General features: G+C 35.6%; 1 long non-coding RNA gene across 2 annotated transcripts in view; it reads left to right on the top strand.

Moving 5' to 3' along the window:
- LOC107986626 (uncharacterized) overlaps positions 1–15,590 on the top strand; it is a 97,612-nt gene extending 82,022 nt beyond the window's left edge. The window contains exons 2-3 of one of the 2 annotated variants that reach the window (XR_001744263.2): positions 9,262–9,361; positions 10,539–15,590. This is a non-coding gene — a long non-coding RNA (uncharacterized LOC107986626). The remainder of the gene's footprint in view (positions 1–9,261; positions 9,362–10,538) is intronic. The other variant, XR_001744264.2, reaches the window with a different exon arrangement.
- Positions 15,591–19,042: the final 3,452 nt, after the last annotated feature.

The raw sequence follows: 19,042 nt of genomic DNA, 5'->3' as shown, positions 1-19,042 counted from the left end.
AATGTCTTCTGCAGCCACTTGGATGAAGCTGTAGACCATTATTCCAAGTGAAGTAGCACGGGAATGGAAAACCAAAAACCGTTATGTTCTCACTTATCAGTGAGAGCTAAGCTATGAGTAGGCAAAGGCATACAGAGTGATATAATGGACTTTAGAGACTCATAAGGGGAAGGGTGGAAGGGAGGCTAGGGATAAAAAAACTACACATAGGTACAAAGTACACTACTTGGGGGACAGCTGCAATAAAATCTCAGACTTCACCACTATGTAATTCATCCATGTAACAAAAAAACATTTGTACCCCAAAAGATATTGAAATAAAAATTAATAAAAAAAAAGAAGGTGAGAATCATTGAAAATAACGTCTTTGCAGATGTAATTGGTTAAGGACTCATGATGGAACATCCTGGGTATAGGATGGATCCTAAATAACTGGTGTCTTTATAAAGAGGAGAGAACACAGAGAGACACATAGAAAAAGGGCCATATGAACACAGGGACAGAGATGGAGTTTTGCTGCCACAAACCAAGGAACGCCAGGACTAGCCAACTGGAACCTAGAAGAGGCAGAGGCTCTCTCCTAGAGCCTTTGGAGGGAGCACAGCCCCTCTGGTACCTTGATTTCCGACTTGTAGCCTCCAGAAATGTGAAAGAATAAATTTGTTTTAAGCCGTCAACTATGTTGTAATTGCATGGCAATCAGTACGCATTCCAACCACTATTTTAAAAATGTTAAATCTATGGTGATGGATTCTAATTAGACATGTTTTAAACCTTCACATTCTGCTTTCCCTATATCTTAATACATCTCCTTATTTATTTTTACCTCCTTATCTTCATGTGATGCATTCTATCCTTCAGATAAATCTTTCAGTTTATTTACTCTTCATTCAGCAATGTCTAATCCTGTTTAACCTTTTTACTTTTCAAAAAAATTCAATCCTTATGGTTTTCATGGATTTTAAAAAATGCCTATTCATTGCTTATGAAATATACTTTTCCCACATATATGCTCTAAATTCTGTATCTAAAAGTTCTGCAGTTTGGGGGTACCTAATTCTGTTATCCATTACTCATTTTTTGTGATCTAGTGGCTTGCCTTATCATGTGCCTGTTATTATTTTTTTATTAGCTTTTTGCTTGCCCTTAATCTGTGGGATGTCAAGTGACTGTATATAAAGGAAAGTTTCCCTCAGAAAAATATTTCCTTCTGTTGATATCCAAGGATCACTACTGCCTGGTATGACTTTAGGCTTACCCCAGAGTCCTTGCTCAGGGCAAATTTCAGGCTTACTTCCCTCAAATTAGTACTGTTTAAGGCTCAGTGTGAAGATTACACTGTATATCATATATATATATATATACACACACACACATATGTATATATACATATATATACACACACATATATACAGATAGAGTATATATATATATATATACACATACATATATATATACCTGAATCTAAAAAGATTCTTATGTACCCCCATGTACCCATGAGTGAATTGTAGTCCTCACTAGCTCAGTTGTTATTAGTTGTAACTATGTAACCAAGTATAGAATTGGTCCCAAGTATACAAGAGGTGTTTTATATTAGAAACCCTTGGATATAATTTACCATGTTAATAGAATCAATGAACAAAAATAAGTGTGACCAACTACAAAGAAGGGATATTATTTAGTATAATGCAATACATGTTTATAGTGAAAAATCTTATTAAACTAGAACTATAAAGGAATTTTCTTACCCTACTTATGGCAGCTACTCCGAGCCTACAGAAAAAATTATCTTTGTAAGAACGGTAGATATGCATTTCATTTAAAGTTGCTGTGGTAGACAGACTTCTAAGATGACTCCTAGTGACCTTCAGTATTCTATAACCCACTCTGCTTTGAGTGTGGATGGGAGTTATGACTACAAAGAGATATCACTCCCATGAGTCTGTTAATTTATTTAGTAAATGGGAAATTATTTTTGGTTGGACTGACCTAACCAGACAATGCCTTTAAAGGCAGAATTTTCACCTGCTTGTCACAGAAGAAGAAGTGAGAGAGATGAACTTTGGTGAGCCTTAATGAAAGCAAATATTATAAACAGCCTATAAAGTTTATTAAAGTTCCTGCCACATGGCAAGGAACTTTAGGTGGGTTCTAGGAGTTGAGAGTAGTCCCAGGTAATAGCTCATAGGGAACTGAGGACCTCAGTCCTACAATCACAAGGGAATAAATTGTACCAGAACCAGTGAGCTTGCAAGACACCAAGCTCCATGTGAGAACTGTAACCCTGGCCAACAATTTGATGTCAGCCTAGTAAGACCCTAAGGAGAAAAACTCCAGCCACACTGTGCTCAGATGTTTGACCTGCATAATCTGTGAGATAAATTAGTGCTGTGTCAAGCCACAAGGTTTATAATAATTTATTACACAGCAGCATGAAAATGAATATAATCAGAACTTATATCAGTATATCGGCTATCCCAATTGATTCAATTCTTTTCTATATCCGAGGTTTAGTCTGGGACTGTAGAACCTTCTGTGATGATGGAAATGTTCTATTTCTGTGTGGTACAATATTGCAGCCACTTAACTCATGTGGCTATTGAGCAGTTGGAATGTGGATAGTAATTGAGGAACTAAGTAGTTAATTTTATTTGAATCTAATTAATTTAAATGTAAATAATCATATGTAACTAAAGGCTATTATTGAGGACTGTGCAATTCCAGCCAATGCAGTGAGTAAATAAAAATAAGTCAAAGCCATAATTCTTATAAAGAAAGTAATACACTTTTATACTGATAGGATTGCTTCTGTAGATGATCAAAAAGAACCGAGATGCAAACTTTTGAAACTACTCAGGGAGTTCTACAATTTGCTATACATATATAAAACAAAGATGCAAAAAAAAAAAAAAAAAAGGTGTTTCTGTTCACTAGTAAAAATCCAATAGTATTAAAATTTTGAAAATCCTGGTTTTTAGCAACCATAAAAATTAAAATCAAGATTGGGCGCAGTGGCTCTTGCCTGTAATCCTAGCGTTTTGGGAGGCTGAGGTGGGCAGATCACTTGAGCCCAGGAGTTCATGACCAGCCTGGACAATATGGCAAAACCCTGTCTCTACGAAAAATACAAAAATTAGCAGGGCATGGGGTTGGGAGTCTGTAGTCCTAGCTACTTAGGAGACTGAGGTGAGAGCATCACCTGAGCCCGGGGGGCCGGGGCTGTGGTAAGCCGTGGTTGTACCACTGCACTCAAGCCTGGGTGATAGTGAGACCCTGTCCCCCCCGCCAAAAAAAAAGCATTAAAATTATAATCTATATTTAAATCCAGCTAAATATAATAGAAATATCTTATATAAAATATTGTAAAGAGTGTTTGAAGAGTATGAAGTCAGACTTAAGTGGTGAGATATATTCTTTCCTGAATGGGAAGCCTCAATACCACAAATATATCACATTTCCCACGATTAATCTATACATTTAACATAATCCAGTTAAAATATCGGCAAAGTATTGGTAGATTTTAACAAGTGGTAGTATTATAAATACTTATTATGATGTTATAAAAATCTAAATATGGTATTGGTGCAAGGATAACAAATACAGGGGCAGGGGAGTCACTCGCAGACATAAAATCTTTCTTAATATAGAGGTGGCGGCTGGGCGCGGTGGCTCACACCTGTAATCCCAGCACTTTAAGAGGCCGAGGCGGGTGGATCACAAGGTCAGGAGATTGAGACTGTCCTGGCTAACAGGGTGAAACCCCATCTCTACTAAATAAATACAAAAAAATTAGCCAGGTGCGGTGGCGGACGCCTGTAGTCCCAGCTACTCTGGAGGCTGAGGCGGGAGAATGGCGTGAACCCGGGAGGTGGAGCTTGCAGTGAGTCGAGGTTGTGCCACTGCACTCCAGCCTGGGCGACAGAGCGAGACTCCCTCTCCCTCTCAAAAAAAAAAAAAAAAAAAAAAAAAAGAATACACACACACACACATATATATAGAGGTGGCATTGAACATGAGTCAGGAAAATATTAACTGTCTAATAAACGGATAATTGGCTATCCATATTAAAAAGCAGAAAATTGTACCTTGACCTCATGCAGCGTGTTGTACAGAAATTTCAGCTTAACTCCCACATTTCATAATTAAATTTAAAACAGTACAACCAAACGATATAAAAATAACAAGAAACTCTATGACTTCAAGGCAAGGAAGAATCTCTTAGACAAGACATACAAAGTACACACCCCACAAGAACAGACTGATAAATTAGACAATAAAATTGGAAACTTCTGTATGACCAAAGATACAATAAACAAAGTAAAAACCCACCCACAGTGAATGAGTCAGTGAATGAATGAAACCTGTATCACAAGTATTTACATAGGTAACCAGTAACTCTGAGCTAATAAAGTAAGGTGCAAAATGAAAGCTTTAAATACATTTCGAAGATGCATAATCAATACTTTATGGAACCACACAAATTTAATGAAGGCATAAAAACATAGACTGTAAACACGAAATAACTTTAGACTCATGCCTGCCTTTAATCATGGGGGATGGGAGTGAATGGAATAGGGGGGTTCAAAGACTTCTGTATTATTTCTTTATATGAAAACTGTAAAAACAAATACGGCAAAATTACAGCATTTGTCAAATCTATATGCTTAAAAGAGGTAGTCACATTAAAAATTCAGCCTTTTCCAGGTATCTCCCCAGCCAATAACATATCTATTCTTAAGATATTGTTTGATCGCTTGGGATCTCTAATCTGGTATTCTTTCATTTACTTTTATTATTTTTCTCTATTTTCATATGCAAATTGGTCTTTACATACTGTGTCCGATCATTGTATTTCTTTCCCATAATCTATGCTAGTTGTTCTTCAACTAATGCTGGAATATCTACAAGTGTCTTCAGTTTTTCTACTTTCAGTAATTGCTGTTACAACTCAAGCTTCGTATGACTTCAAGAATGCTTTTCCTTATATAGCATTTATACCCTACGAATTATGAAAGAAATTTATGGCACCTCCCATTGCCCATGTCTTAAATTTAGAGTCAGTTGTTTAGTGTATTCTTTTTAGACATTGCAAATGTAAGTGCTATGCATAATTTGTCTATTATTTTCTAACAATTTCTCTTGCATAAATTTCTCTCCCATGCTTTTCTACCAAATCACATCCATTAATTCTTGAACTGGCCAGAAATAATTTTATTCTAATCCAGCTTGTTCTGTATGTCATCTCATTTAATGAATGAGTCACCTAATACGGGTTAAGCACTGGAGTCATAATATGCATATGCATGGTCATCATTCTTATTAGAAACTTCTATTACTATTTGTTCAGAAGGTCTTGCTTTCTATCAATAAGATGCTATTGATCTCTTATATATGTCTTAGATCCTAAATCAAAGTGCTAGTTACTTCAACACTGTAAGCAGTTTTTCTGTCCTTTTCTCTATTCCCCCAATCTGTCATCTACTTTTTAAAAGTATATGCAATTAGCAAATAATTGATAATTGATTTAAATCTAATTCATCTTCTTATGTGTGTCACACTTCATGGGCCTTGGAAAGTAAGTGCACCAAAGTAAATCTACTAAGTGATTGAATGATGACTTGTGTTCAGCCTCAAACCTCACCTGCGGATCTACCCACCTAGTATTTGTTAAATTTGTAAACTTGAAACAGGGTTTAATATTAAATATTCGATAGGATGTCTTGTCCCAGATGGGTCCTTAGCCAATAATATACCTCTCCTTGATTCCTCCAATTATAAGACTAGTTGAATTGTTGGGACCTCTGGTCTAGCAATATTTAATTCACTTTTATTGTTTGCCTTCACTCTTACATGTAAATCATCTGGCGAGAAAACATCTACTTTAAGCCTTCATATCATAGGACAGATCGTGTAAGTGCACTAGATCTATCTAAAATTTCTGCTCTCATGAAGATCCATCTTTGAGATTTACATCTTAGAATATCATTATCATTAAATTCTATTTAATTTCTTAAATTCACTTCAACCTGCATTCTAAATGGTCACTGAGCTCTCCTATTTGTACTTAGACAAATGCTAACATTCCTTCAGAAAAAAAAAAGTCTTTGCTTCCCTGTCATATTTTATTCACTGTCTTCATAGCCCATTTCATTTCACTACTGACTAATCATTTTTTAAAAACCCAAAGAACAAAACACATGCTCAGCAGGGCCTAAACGTTTTCAAACTCATTGCACAAAGTATAGGACCCTGAGAGAAGGTATAGCACCAGGTGGTAGCTGCAGAGCCAGCATCTGGGCTCCACGATAATCACCTTGTGTGAATCACAGCAGAGGAAGAACAGCATTACTAGATGAGGTGAGCCTCAGACACTTCCATCTGTTTTTCAAACTGCACTGTGTTTATCAGGGTTGCAGTTTGTGACATCTGGCAGTTTTTCTTATACTTCACGTGTCTTTGAGAAGAGAAAAAGAAAAAGAGAGACAACAGAAAGTACCATTCTTGGCCAGCGAAAGACATTTGTGATTAAATTGCTGTATCTTTAAAGTCTTCATATATTGTGTACATGGTTGAAGGGCAAGAACTTGAAGGTGAAGTGTTTCTAAATAAATTGATTTTCTTATTGCTTCTATAGTCTATAAATGTGCTGAGCTACTATTACTGCTATTTTTTAAGGCTCTCACAGATACAAGTTCTTAAATACATCTTAAAACATATGTATACATTTTATAGCTGTGGAAAATCAATTAAGGTAAATCTGAATGAAATTGTTTTGAAGATATCTCCAAAAATCTCCCCATATTCTAGTAGGTATCTAGACAAAATTTTAGTAGTTTATGTCAATTTAAATCCCTTTTCAGGAGCCACTTACGAGTTTTTGACCAGTCTACAATTGACTGTACAATGTATTAGTGTCAATAAAAGAAACTGTAACTATGAAATTTGGCTCCAAGAACTCAATTTCTTTGAAGTTTGGGTGTAGTAAACAAACATATAACCTCAGGGGCAATAAAAACTTTGGTAATTATCAAATTGTATTGATTCTATATGCACTGAATATCTGTCAAAATACCAGCAATTTTTCATAGAAACATCTTAAATTAAAATTTAGGAATCTATGAAGACTCAGGCTCTGCTAACTTTCCAGAGCGCCATTTGAGATCTCTTCCTCTTATTGATCTTCACGCTGTATTTTACGTGGGGATGCAAGAAGAAAATTGTTTTGCTTGTGAAAATTGCCCATATCTGGTTTCATATTGGAACATTGAAAACAACACTGATAGCAAATGTGTCCCTGACTCTGATAGTGCAAACAAGAAAAAGTGAAGAACCTGTAAAATTCTAATATAAGCACATATCAAAATGGAGATCCCACTCCTCCAATAGTAAGGTGCCAGTTATTGAGACATTTTTAAACAGAAAGGGAAGTATTTTCAAACCAGGTGCCTTGATATTACTGGACAGTGCTTGATGAAGGAATATTGGCAGATTTATAATCTCCAAATTTTTTGTTGTTTTAATCATTGTTGTTACTTATTTATTGATCATTTTAACATTTATTCTGGGCCGGGTGCAGTGGCTTACGCCTGTAATCCCAGCACTCTGGGAGGCCAAGGTGGGCAGATCACGAGGTCAGGAGATCAAGACCATCCTGGCTAACCCGCGGAAACCCCGTCTCTACTAAAAATACAAAAAAAAAAAAAATTAGCCAGGCGAGGTGGCGGGCACCTGTAGTCCCAGGTACTCGCGAGGCTGAGGCAGGAGAATGGCATGAACCCAGGAGGCGGAGGTTGCAGTGAGCCCAGATCGCGCCACTGCACTCCAGCCTGGGTGACAGAGCAAGACTCCATCTCAAGAAAAAAAAAAAAAAAAAACCATTTATTCTGTTAGTATTAGTCAGCTTGAACTTTCCCAAGTTAAGATTCCACTTTTTTTTCTTTTCTTCTGTCCTTGTAACATATACCGTATTTGTTATTTTATTTATAATAGGGGACACCAAGTAGCGTAAGAGAATATGACTAATGTCCTTTATTATTATCCTTGTCTTTAAAAGTTTTATCAGCAGCAACTGACTCTTAAGAGCTCTAAGATGTTCATTAAAATAAGCGTTGTGTGAGATTCATTGTCCAGCTTATTCTTTGAGAGGAACTCCTTTTTTTTTTCACATGGGATTACAGGATATTTCTTTCTTTCTTTTTAAATTATACCTAAGTTCTGGGATACATGTGCAGAACGTGCAGGTTTGTTATATAGGTATACATGTGCCATAGTGGTTTCCTGCACCCATCAACCCGTCATCCACATTAGGTATTTCTCGTAATGCTATCCCGCCCCTTGCCATCACTGGTCATTAGAGAAATGCAAATCAAAACCGCAATGAGATACCATTTCACACTGGTTAGAATGGTGATCATTAAAAAGTCAGGAAACAACAGATGCTGGAGAGGATGTAGAGAAATAGGAACGCTTTTACACTGCTGGTGGGAGTGTAAACTAGTTCAACCACTATGGAAGACAGTGTGGCGATTCCTCAAGGATCTAGAACTAGAAATGCCATTTGACCTGCAATCCCATTACTGGGTATATACCCAAAGGATTATAAATCATTCTACTCTAAAGACACATGCACATGTATGTTTATTGAGATGAACTCTTTGCTTTTCCAGTCAACTCATTAGGACAAATCAATCACAAAAAACACCTTTGTATGTCAGCAAGTGCTTTTCTCCTTAATGCACTGGTGCTTTCCTCCTGTAGCCTCTTGCCTGGGAATATATTGCCATTTCCAATACTTTCCCTTATTTCCTCACTTCTACCACCTTTCATTTCACTCTCATCCTTGCCCATTTAAAAATTAAGGAACTTCGAGTTCAGATTCTGGGGAAGGTGCGTAAGTACACTTCACTCAGTTTCTCCCACTGAAAACAATCCGAAGTTCCAGACAGAATGCGTGGAACAGCAATCCGAGGCCCTAAAAAGCACACAGTAGCAGTTGTATTGGGGAAGGACATCAGAATTTCAAAATTCAAAGTTCTGTGGAACTGGTGGTAAGTTTATAGTGTTTTCTTTCTGCCTCTGGTATTACCCAACCTGGACTAAAAACAGGCCCAAGTCTGGAAATGCATATACCAAGCACAGATAGAAAGAGGTCTATGAGAAATATGTTCTCCAATTTGAGGAGGAAGAAACTACCGAAGGTTGGAAAAAATGAAAGAAATGGCTTGTTTTGTTTTAACTTTTTTTCCTTCTCTCCTGTTCTAGCTCCCAGGCAGCTGTGATGGTGGGGAGGCAGCTGCACAGTGATGGCAGTGGCTGCCAGGCAGTCCCCCACAACCCTGAGAAAGGAAAATTCTGCTCTCTGGTAAGAAAATCTGGGGTCCCCAGAGCATGAAGCAAATTTCCATTTTTTCCCCCACCCTCTGTCCTCCCACCATTTGGTCCTAAATACAAACACGCTTTTAGGAAGTGTCTGGAAGAGGAAGAAGTTAGGTTTCTGGAGAGAGGACAGGAAAGGGTGGCCTCAGGAAGGTAGAAATTGTTGTGGAGGTCACAGAAAGAAGAAAGATCAACAGAAATCCCATAAATTGTGTAGGAATTCCTCAGCTCACCTCCAAACTGCACATTCATGGATCTCACCCTAAATATGATATCAAAGATTTTGGAAACTGAGCCCAGGGTAGGCTTCCACTCACTGTTTGGCCACTGGGGGGCACAAATGTGGTGTGATCTAAACAGTACCGCAAATGCTCTGAAGACTGAACTGAGGGAATAAGAACCCACAGAAAGCAAGTTGGTACTTGTGGCCTAAACTTCTACATAATCAGATTGCCTAATACAAATCAAAAAATCAATATCCTCTTTAGGATTTAAATGAGACACAAAGTCTGAAAACATAATATTTAAAATATCTATAATTTGGTTTCAAATTACCTTGCCTAAACAGTACCAGGAAAGTCATAAGAGAAAATACAATCACAAAATGACACAGATGTTGGGATTATCAGACGAAGGCCATAAATTAGCTATTATAAACATTCCCCACCTGGCTAACAAATGACAAAACCAAGACCTGAACTCAGCTCATGCCATTATATACTATGCTCGTTATCTTCTTCATTCCCAATTCAAGATAAACTGTCTCAGAAGTACAGACTCCGTGTGAAAAATTGAGCATGAAGCTAATGCATAAACTATATTATTAAGAGAATAAGGCTGAGCAACTAAGGGAAATGTATTTGTCATAGCCATGCAGGCCCTGTCATAAGTACTTTTTGATATAGTGATTTTATATTGTTCTCTCAGTTTTTGGGACATTGCAAATTAAAAGAGGATTTACCAATAAATTTACAAGTTAATTAAACTAGAGTACACACTTGTATTTGCAATGATGTAGTTGTGTTTAATATAAGTCATGGAAGTCATGTTTGTCCATTTTATTCCCTTAAAGCAGAAACTAGCAGCCTGTGCCCCAACTCTGTCTGGTGGCCCATTTTTACGCAATATGAGAGCTAATAATTTTTTTTTTTACATATTTAAAGAATCTGTAGAAAGAGGAGGATGAGAGCGAGGGGCAGGAGGAAGATGTGGAGAAGGAGAAAGATGAAAGAAGAAGCCTTCATAAATACTGTATGTGGCCCATAAACCCTGAAGTATTTAACATCTGGTCCTTTACAGAAAACCTTTGCCAACCCCTGGTCCAAAGAAATGGAAACACCTTGATAGGAACAATTTCATATGTTTTCTGTTTCTTTCTAGTGTTTTAAATTCATGTCACAAGGGAGCACCTAATAAGGACCTGACTCACAGTGGACATTAAAACAGTGATTATGTGAACTAATTGGTGGATAAATCGTTGGCTCTCTGCTTCAAGCACAGCAAAACAAGTCAGCTTCTTGGATATCTTTTATGGGAGATAATATGGCTATCCAAATGTTCACCAATCCCTCACTTATGCCTTGTGCCCACTCATGGGAGACATATAATCTCATGCCCCAGTGATGTTGGGCTTTGACATGTGACTTGCTTTGGCCAAGAGAATGTAATCAGAGATAACATATGCCACATTTTATTAGAAGCTGTGAGAGATATTTTACATTTCTATCAGTCACCTTTAATTTCTGCCCTCTGGAATTTTAAAAGTATGTTGTAGTTGTGGCTAATATTTCCACTTGGATACTGCAATAAGAAAACACAAAGAGACAGGCCAAGCACAATAAGACCAACCAACCAAATCCAGAAATGCTCAGCCAAACTGAAGCTGACCCTCGGCATTCATGTGATGGGTGAGAACTACAAGGTGTAAGCCTTTGAGATTTTGTGGTTCTCTGGCTGAAAGAAAAGTTGATTGATATCCTTCTATAAAACAAAAGATTCAGAAGGATCTAATGGATTAGGTTTTAGTATATTATTGCAAATCATAATGAATTCTTAGATACATATTTTTTAACCATAATAGGAAGAATAGCTATTTATACAACTCATATTTACAAGATGATTTCATATTTTTAGTTCATTTTCTGCTGTGTAGAAATGTAATGGTTATAATATGGTGCCCTTTCATGCTCATCAAGCACTCTTTTATCTCACTAATGAAGGGCAAAAGTGATGGACATATGTTGTTACTAGAATAAAAGGCCACCTTACACTCAAGAAAATTAATGTATTACTGTGATAACTTTGTTCTCTATTAAAAATGAATCATTCTTGAATCAGAATTTCTTTACTTTGGAAGTTAGTATTTCACCCTTATATCAATTTAACTTTGTAGAAATATGACTAGAAATTAAATGGCATAAAAACTGAGAAACAAATTTATACAGAAAAGATTTACAATTTATAATGAGTTGTGCCAAGTAGGAAATATTTTAACCTCATAAGGATAAGTGTGAAATCAAGAAATTTGTAGTCAAAGGTGGTTCATCCTATAAAAATAAAAATATATAGGAGAATACTGATGAGAAAAGAAAATTAAAATATCCAGAAATTTTCATGTAGCTTATTTGAAGTCACAAAATGTGACAAAAATACCATAAAATAAAATGTGTAATTCAGGGCTCCAGAAATGGCCATGGTGCTGATAGTTGACAGCTGTTGTTTTTGCCTTCCCAGCACTCTCCCACTTTTTAATGTTAAGAGAATTCTAATTCTGTTTTGGGAAACATCCTCTCCTCTTTCACTTCAGTAGCCCTAGTGCTATAGTGTCATTCCTCTTTTAAATGTGGGCAATGTGAGCCCAATAAATCATAGTCTCATATGACCCTCACCACAGGCATTTCTTTAGGACTGGCATCTGAGCCAAGAGAGGATACTCAGAGCAGACAGGAATCTGAGGAGTGAAAGAAACTTTCTTCAGCTATTAAAGTTGAGAGAAGATAGCAGTAAGATGGGAGCAGCCGGTGTACATCTAGTCAGCAGAAATGGCAAGCCAGCCTGAGAACTCCACTAACACAAAGGAAAGCAAAGCTCAGAGAAGGCAAGGGACAGACCAAGTTCTGATGATGCCATATAATCCCACACCCTCCCAAACAGGATACACCTGATTTTTTAACCTTGTTTTCCTTTCTCTTGCAATTTCAATCCCTGATAGATACAGTGCTCCTGGGGGTGGTTGAGGCATTTGAAGATGAATATTTTACAATTAGACTTTCCCTTCACGTCTGTATTTCAGTAAACCCATAAATAACATATTTCAGAAGTGGTTGGATTCTTGTGATGTTTCTCAATTTAAGTTTCATTTTTGCAACCATGTCCTCTAGAGGAATTCCAGCAAATGGCTGGCAGTGAAGTTTGGCATGCAAACATATGAGGACTGTATCTGAAAATCTCCTTTGAATATTGATTCATCAGATGATTAATCTCTAATTTTTTAATTAAAAAAAGCAGGCTATATTATTAGTACAAAAAGAGTTTTTTTCATTTTGTAAATTTTTATTTTGGGAAAAAAGTCAAACCTACAGAAAAGTTGGAGGAATTTTACTACAGGCACAATGCAACTTGTACCTAGAGAAATTTAGACATTAAATTTTTCCCAAAATTATTTTCTTTCTCTAAATACATATGCTTTTTTTTCTTTTGCTGAACAATTTGAAAATAATTTGTAGGCATTTCATAACTTACCTGACAAATATGTTAGCAGGACTCTCCTAAGAATAAAAACATTCTTCTCTATAACTTCTATACCAATGTTGCATCTAAGAAAATTAACTCTAATTTTAAAATATCACCTAATATACTGTCCATCTTCAAAATTCCCTAATTGTTCTAAAATTGTCTTTTAGGATCTTTTTGTAAAACTCCAGGATCCAATTGTGGTGTGTAAATTGAATTTGGTTATGTCTCTTTAGTTTCTTTTAATGTTGAACTGTCCCTTATATTTTTTCTCGTTATATTGAATTGTTGACCATTCTAGGCCTCTGGTCTTTTACAATGTGTTCCTTTCTTGTTTTTTCTTATGTAAATTCAGTTTAATAATTTTGGCAAGAATAGTACACAGTTGCTATGTATATTTCTTGTTGTTTCACATTAAGAACATTATATCAAGTTGTCCTACCATTGATGATTCAAAGTTTGGCTGCTAAATCTCCGAATTATAAAGAAAAATTCTTTTCTATTAGTAATTAATATTATACTTGTGTGATATCTTGAATAGGTAGGAAAGTCCAGTTTTCCAACAATCCCCCACACAATGGTTTTAGCATTTGTTGATAACGCTCAGAGAAGGCAAGGGACTGAACAAGTTCTGATGATGTGTTTTCGTTTTCGTTTGAATAAAGTTCATTTTTAGAATTCAATCATTTTTTCCATATTTGTTAGATGTCCTTTATCTATAAAGATAAAGAAGACGTTACTTCCATTCCTGCATCTTCATCATACTCACACACATAATTAACCTTTTTCATTATTTTCTGTTTATCTTTTCTGTGTGTGTGATGTATTACATATTATACATTTTAAATAATATATAATAGAGAACATTTATTTGTACACATACACACACACACAAATTTCTTTTATGCTCATTCACAAAGATACCACAGTATGTACACTTTTTTGAGGCTTTTTTTTCACTTAACCATGTATCTTGGAAATACTCCATATAAGTTAATAGCTAGTTATCTTTTTATTGTTCTGTAAATTATTTAATCTGTCTTCTATAGATGGGCATTTCGTTTTTATCCAATATTTTCTATTTTAATTAATGCTGCAGTGAATAAACTTTTGCATATATTGTTTTGTTATTTGCAGGAAGGTATATACAAGCAAAGTCTTAGAAAGAGGATTTCTGGATCAAAGTGTAAATGCATCGGCAGCTTTGTTAGATATTGCCACATTGTGTTCAACAAGGGTTTTACCATCAACAGTTATGAGTGTCTGTTTTCCCAAAGCCTAGCCAATAGTATGTGTTTTCAAGGCACTGATTTTCTGCTAATCTGGTAGGTAAGAAATAGCATAATGGTGTAGTTTTAATTTGCATTCCTATTATTGTCAGTGAGTTAGAGTGCCTTTTCATATGTTCAAGGACCATTTTTATATACTTTCTCTAAACTCTTCATTTTTCATTTTCCCATGTTATTTTCACTTTATTTTCAATAACTCTTTTTAAATGAAAGATATTAGCATTTTATTTTCTGTGATGTAAGTTGCAAATATTTTTGTCCAGCCTGTCTTTCAATTTTTCTGTTTTAGCATGCATTTTAAAATTTTTAATGAAGTTGAATTTATAATTTTTATATAGCTACTTGATAGTGAATCATAATTAGAAATGTCTCCACACACATTATAAAGAAAGCCAAGCATGTTCCCGTTTAGACTGTTGATCCAAGTAGAGTGTTTTCACGTTCTACTAGATCAATAATGGATCCAATTTTTTTCTTTTCTAAATGTCTATCCAGTTTTCCAAACACTATGTTTTAAAAAGACTATATTTTTTCCAGTAGCCTAAGATACCATATATAATATTTACTAAATCTTCATTTGTACTTAGGTCTATTCTGAGCTTTCCATACAATTTTGTTAATCTATTAATATATTCTTGAATCTGTATCATGCCATTTTGATTATAGAGACTCTATAGTATACTTTTTAAAAATAGACTTTATTTTTTAGGCCAGATTAAGGTTCACAGCAGAAGTTACAGAGCTTTCCCAAATACTCCCTACACCGACAGATGCACAGCCTCCCTCATTATCAACATCCCCCATCAGAATGATACAATTGCTATAATTGATGAACCTAAATTGACTACTCATTATTACTCAGAATCCATAGTTTACACTGGGGTTCACTCTTGGTTTCGTGCATTCTGTGGGTTTGGAAAAGTTCATAATGCTATATATCCATTCTTATAACATCATACAAAGTAGTTTCAGTGCTCTAAAAATCCTCTGTGCTCCAGCGATTTGCCTCTCCCTTCTCCTAACCCTTGGTCTTTTTATTATCTCCACAGTTTTGCCTTTTCTGGAATGTCATTTAGTTAGAATCATATGGTATGTAGCTTTTTTAGATTGGATTGTTTCATTTAGTCATTTGCATTTGAATTTCCTCGATGTCTTTTCATGGCTTGATAGCTCATTAAAAAAAATCAAATAATATTTTATTGTCTAGATGTACATATTTTATTTATCCGTTCACCGACTAAAGTTAATCTTGATTAATTTCATGTTCTGAAAATTATAAATAATTGTGTGCATTTTAATATCTAGCAGTACTACCTAATTGCACTTATTTTTAAATGTTTACTTAAATATTATTTCTTGTTATTTCTTCTACATAATATATAAATTAAATGTAACACTAATAAAAATAAAAGAATCAGCATATGTATGGATGTTGAGACATATCCATGAACAAGGAATTATTGGATCTATACATTGTTCAAGATTGGTCTTAAAGAGTGGTTTGGAGATTTCTTCTTATAGGTTTAAGTATTTCTAGAAAAGATTTAAGTTCATTTAAGCATGTTACTATTTTTATTGTTGTTATAAATTGTTTTCTGATTATTTTTTGTTTATATAAGGATTATTGATTTTTGTGTGCTAACTCAGAAGTTTTGCTCTTATACAACAGTTATTGCAATCCCTGTAATACTCCCTTTGTTGAAAAAAATTTACTTCTGCTATTGAGTTCCCTTTCTTTTCTAAAATGAACTTACCACCGGCACAGTGACTCATACCTGTAATCTCAGCTGAGGCAGGGGGATTGCTTAAGGCCAAGAGTTGCAGACAGGCCTGGGCAACAGAGAGAGACTCCATCTCTAATAAGTAAATAAATACATAAAATAAACTCATTTTCTCCCTGGTACTTATTTTTTTATGTCTACCTTATAATTGAACACCCATAGATCACAATCACTTGGTGCTTAATAAGAAAAACGTATTCAGTGCATGATAATTACATTTGTGTGTATCCAATTCTATTATTTCCATAAGCTAATTATAAAGTTGGACATATGTATCTCTGAGAAAATAGTGACCTCCAAATGTAATAAAATTTAAAAACATTTTAATAATTATTTGGTAAAATATATAAGCTTAAATGAAAAATTAATGTTCTGTTCAAAAATCACACATTTCTAATAAAATGCCATTCTCAAACTGCAATCCTATGAACATGCAATGTTTTGTGTATGCACAACCATAGCAAGTAGGAACCATGCAGGATCATTTGAGCAGTGCTGAGAAGATAAGCTTTGCCCATGTATCTGTTCCCTAACCTCCACAAGCCTCAGACTGAAAATCAGATTTAGAAGTATTAATAGGTCTAGTTATCTCTAATAAATACACACATTACATGCCTCATTAGCCAGGGTAAGCTTTTCAGATTAGTCTATTCACCACTTTGGACTGAAGACATGAGGTCTAGGGCACACCATTTTCACATGGGATTATTGTGACATAAACTGGATGCTATATTGCAGCCCAGGAGATTGTGTGTTGTAGCTCTAGTAAGACAAATAAAAATAAATGTTGATTTTTAAGGAATTTGTTTTGGCACAAATCTTCAAGACACACAAATCAAAGGGTTGCAGAGATACTGTGTCATAATTTTTGAGTATGTATGGGTCCCGAAAAAAAAAAAAAGAATCAAGAAATCTGTGTTCAGCTGGGTGCAGAGGCTCACGCCTGTAATCCCAGCACTTTGGGAGGCTGAGGCGGGTGTATCATCTGAGGTCAGAAGTTCAAGACCAGCCTGGCCAACATGGTGAAACCCCATCTCTACTAAAAATACAAAAATTAGCTGGACTTAGTGGCGCACACCTGTAGTCCCAACTACTCAGGAGGCTGAGGCAAGAGAATCGCTCGAATCTGGGAGGTGGAGGTTGCAATGAGCCAAGATCACACCACTGTACTCCAGCCTTGGTGACAAGAGCAAAACTCCGTCAAAAAAAAAAAAAAAAAAAAGAAAGAAAGAAAGGAGAAAAAGAAATTTGTGTTCTAAACAAGGAATACTGTCTTAGCAAAAGAGTTCTGAAATGACTTTGAACTTCTCATATTGGTCTCTCTCGTAAAGTATGGGGTGTACCTCTTGGAAAAGAAATCACTCTTAAATGGAGAGCAACAAGCCACATCAATTATTTCCAAGAATCTGATCCATTATTACGGGACAGGTGTACTGAAGGTATCTGGGTGCAAATCATGTTCCCTTTTCTGTGAATGCTCTCTGATGTCAGAGGCAGTCACCATTTGTCATGTCAAACAATGGATGTGGCAATAACTACATTTCCTGATATGTGAACCAAAAAAATTGGAAAACTGGACTATAGAGAGGGTCAGGGACAAAAAGAGGAAAAAACAAGGGGCAGCAGAGTAAAGCAAAATCCAGGGTCAAAGCAGAAGTCCCAAGAGGACTTAGACCTTCCCTTTATTGTGACTTTGCATATTATATTATAAAGAATTACATTTTTGTGCTTATGAAATCCAGATTCAATTTCTGTTGCAAATTAATACAATAAGGGCAGTGTTCAATGTGGTACACTTTCTGCCACTTTGATTGACCTCAGTCTAATTCATTCACTTCTTCAATAAGTATTTTGGAGAAATACTAGTATTTTCCAAGCTTTGTGCTCAGCATTGTTGATAGTGGTGCACAAATAAACACAGTCTTCACTTTTATGGTATTACCAATATAGTGAAGGAGGCAAGGATTTAAGAAACAATTAACGAGTGAAGAAGTGTAAATAGCATAAGATATATTTGATAAAATAACAGGTATCATAACAATTTATAACATGACTAATAGACTAAATTAGTGGTTTTTAAAGAGGTGAAGTGACATTAAATCTAGGCTTGAATGATGACTAGGAAGCGGCCAGGTGATAGGGATAAGAGTATCATAGGCAAAGAGAATCACATGAGCAAAGGTTTTGAAGTAGGAGTGAGTGAGGTACTTATACTTTGGAAGGTTGATGTGCCTGAAACATATTAATGCAGGGGGAAGTGTAGTATGAGATCCAGCTAGAGATGCAGTCAGGGGTAATGCTATCAATAATAAAGATAACCAAATGAAAATTGTATTCTAAATTCAATGTTAAATCACTGATAAATTTTAAGCCAGTTTGGTGGCTTAACAAACACTGAAATAAGTTATTTCTATATAACACACTTAAAACCTAAAGAAATCCTGATTTGTAATCCTGGAAGTAGACACAAAAGCATAGATCATCCTAAGCAGGAGATGATTTGGAATGGAGAAGAAACCAAAAAGAATACAGTAGTTAGATGGACATGCATGTGCAGGCAATGGCTGAACCAAGAGCCTCAGGGCATACATTTGTCATAAGAATCAGTAGCACTGGGCATTTGGTAAAGTGATCTGTGGCTTAATAATGCCACTGTAATTACTTAGACATGAGCCAGTTGTCACCATAGCCTAGCAGAAAGTCCTGGGTCAAAGAACACATAATATTGCTTCATGAACACTGTGAGATAGTCTCACCTGAAAACTTTCAAAATATTGGGAAAAATCTGAGACTATTCTCAGATTCTGGTATTCTGAAGAATATGTGAGTACAGAGTAGAGGAAATTTAAGTCAGTTAATTCTTGA

The sequence above is a fragment of the Homo sapiens genome, chromosome 6, assembly GCF_000001405.40.
Source record: "Homo sapiens chromosome 6, GRCh38.p14 Primary Assembly".
In the NCBI taxonomy this organism is placed as follows: domain Eukaryota; kingdom Metazoa; phylum Chordata; class Mammalia; order Primates; family Hominidae; genus Homo; species Homo sapiens.
Note: the sequence above shows the minus strand (reverse complement) of the source record. Positions and strands in the feature narration are given on the sequence as shown.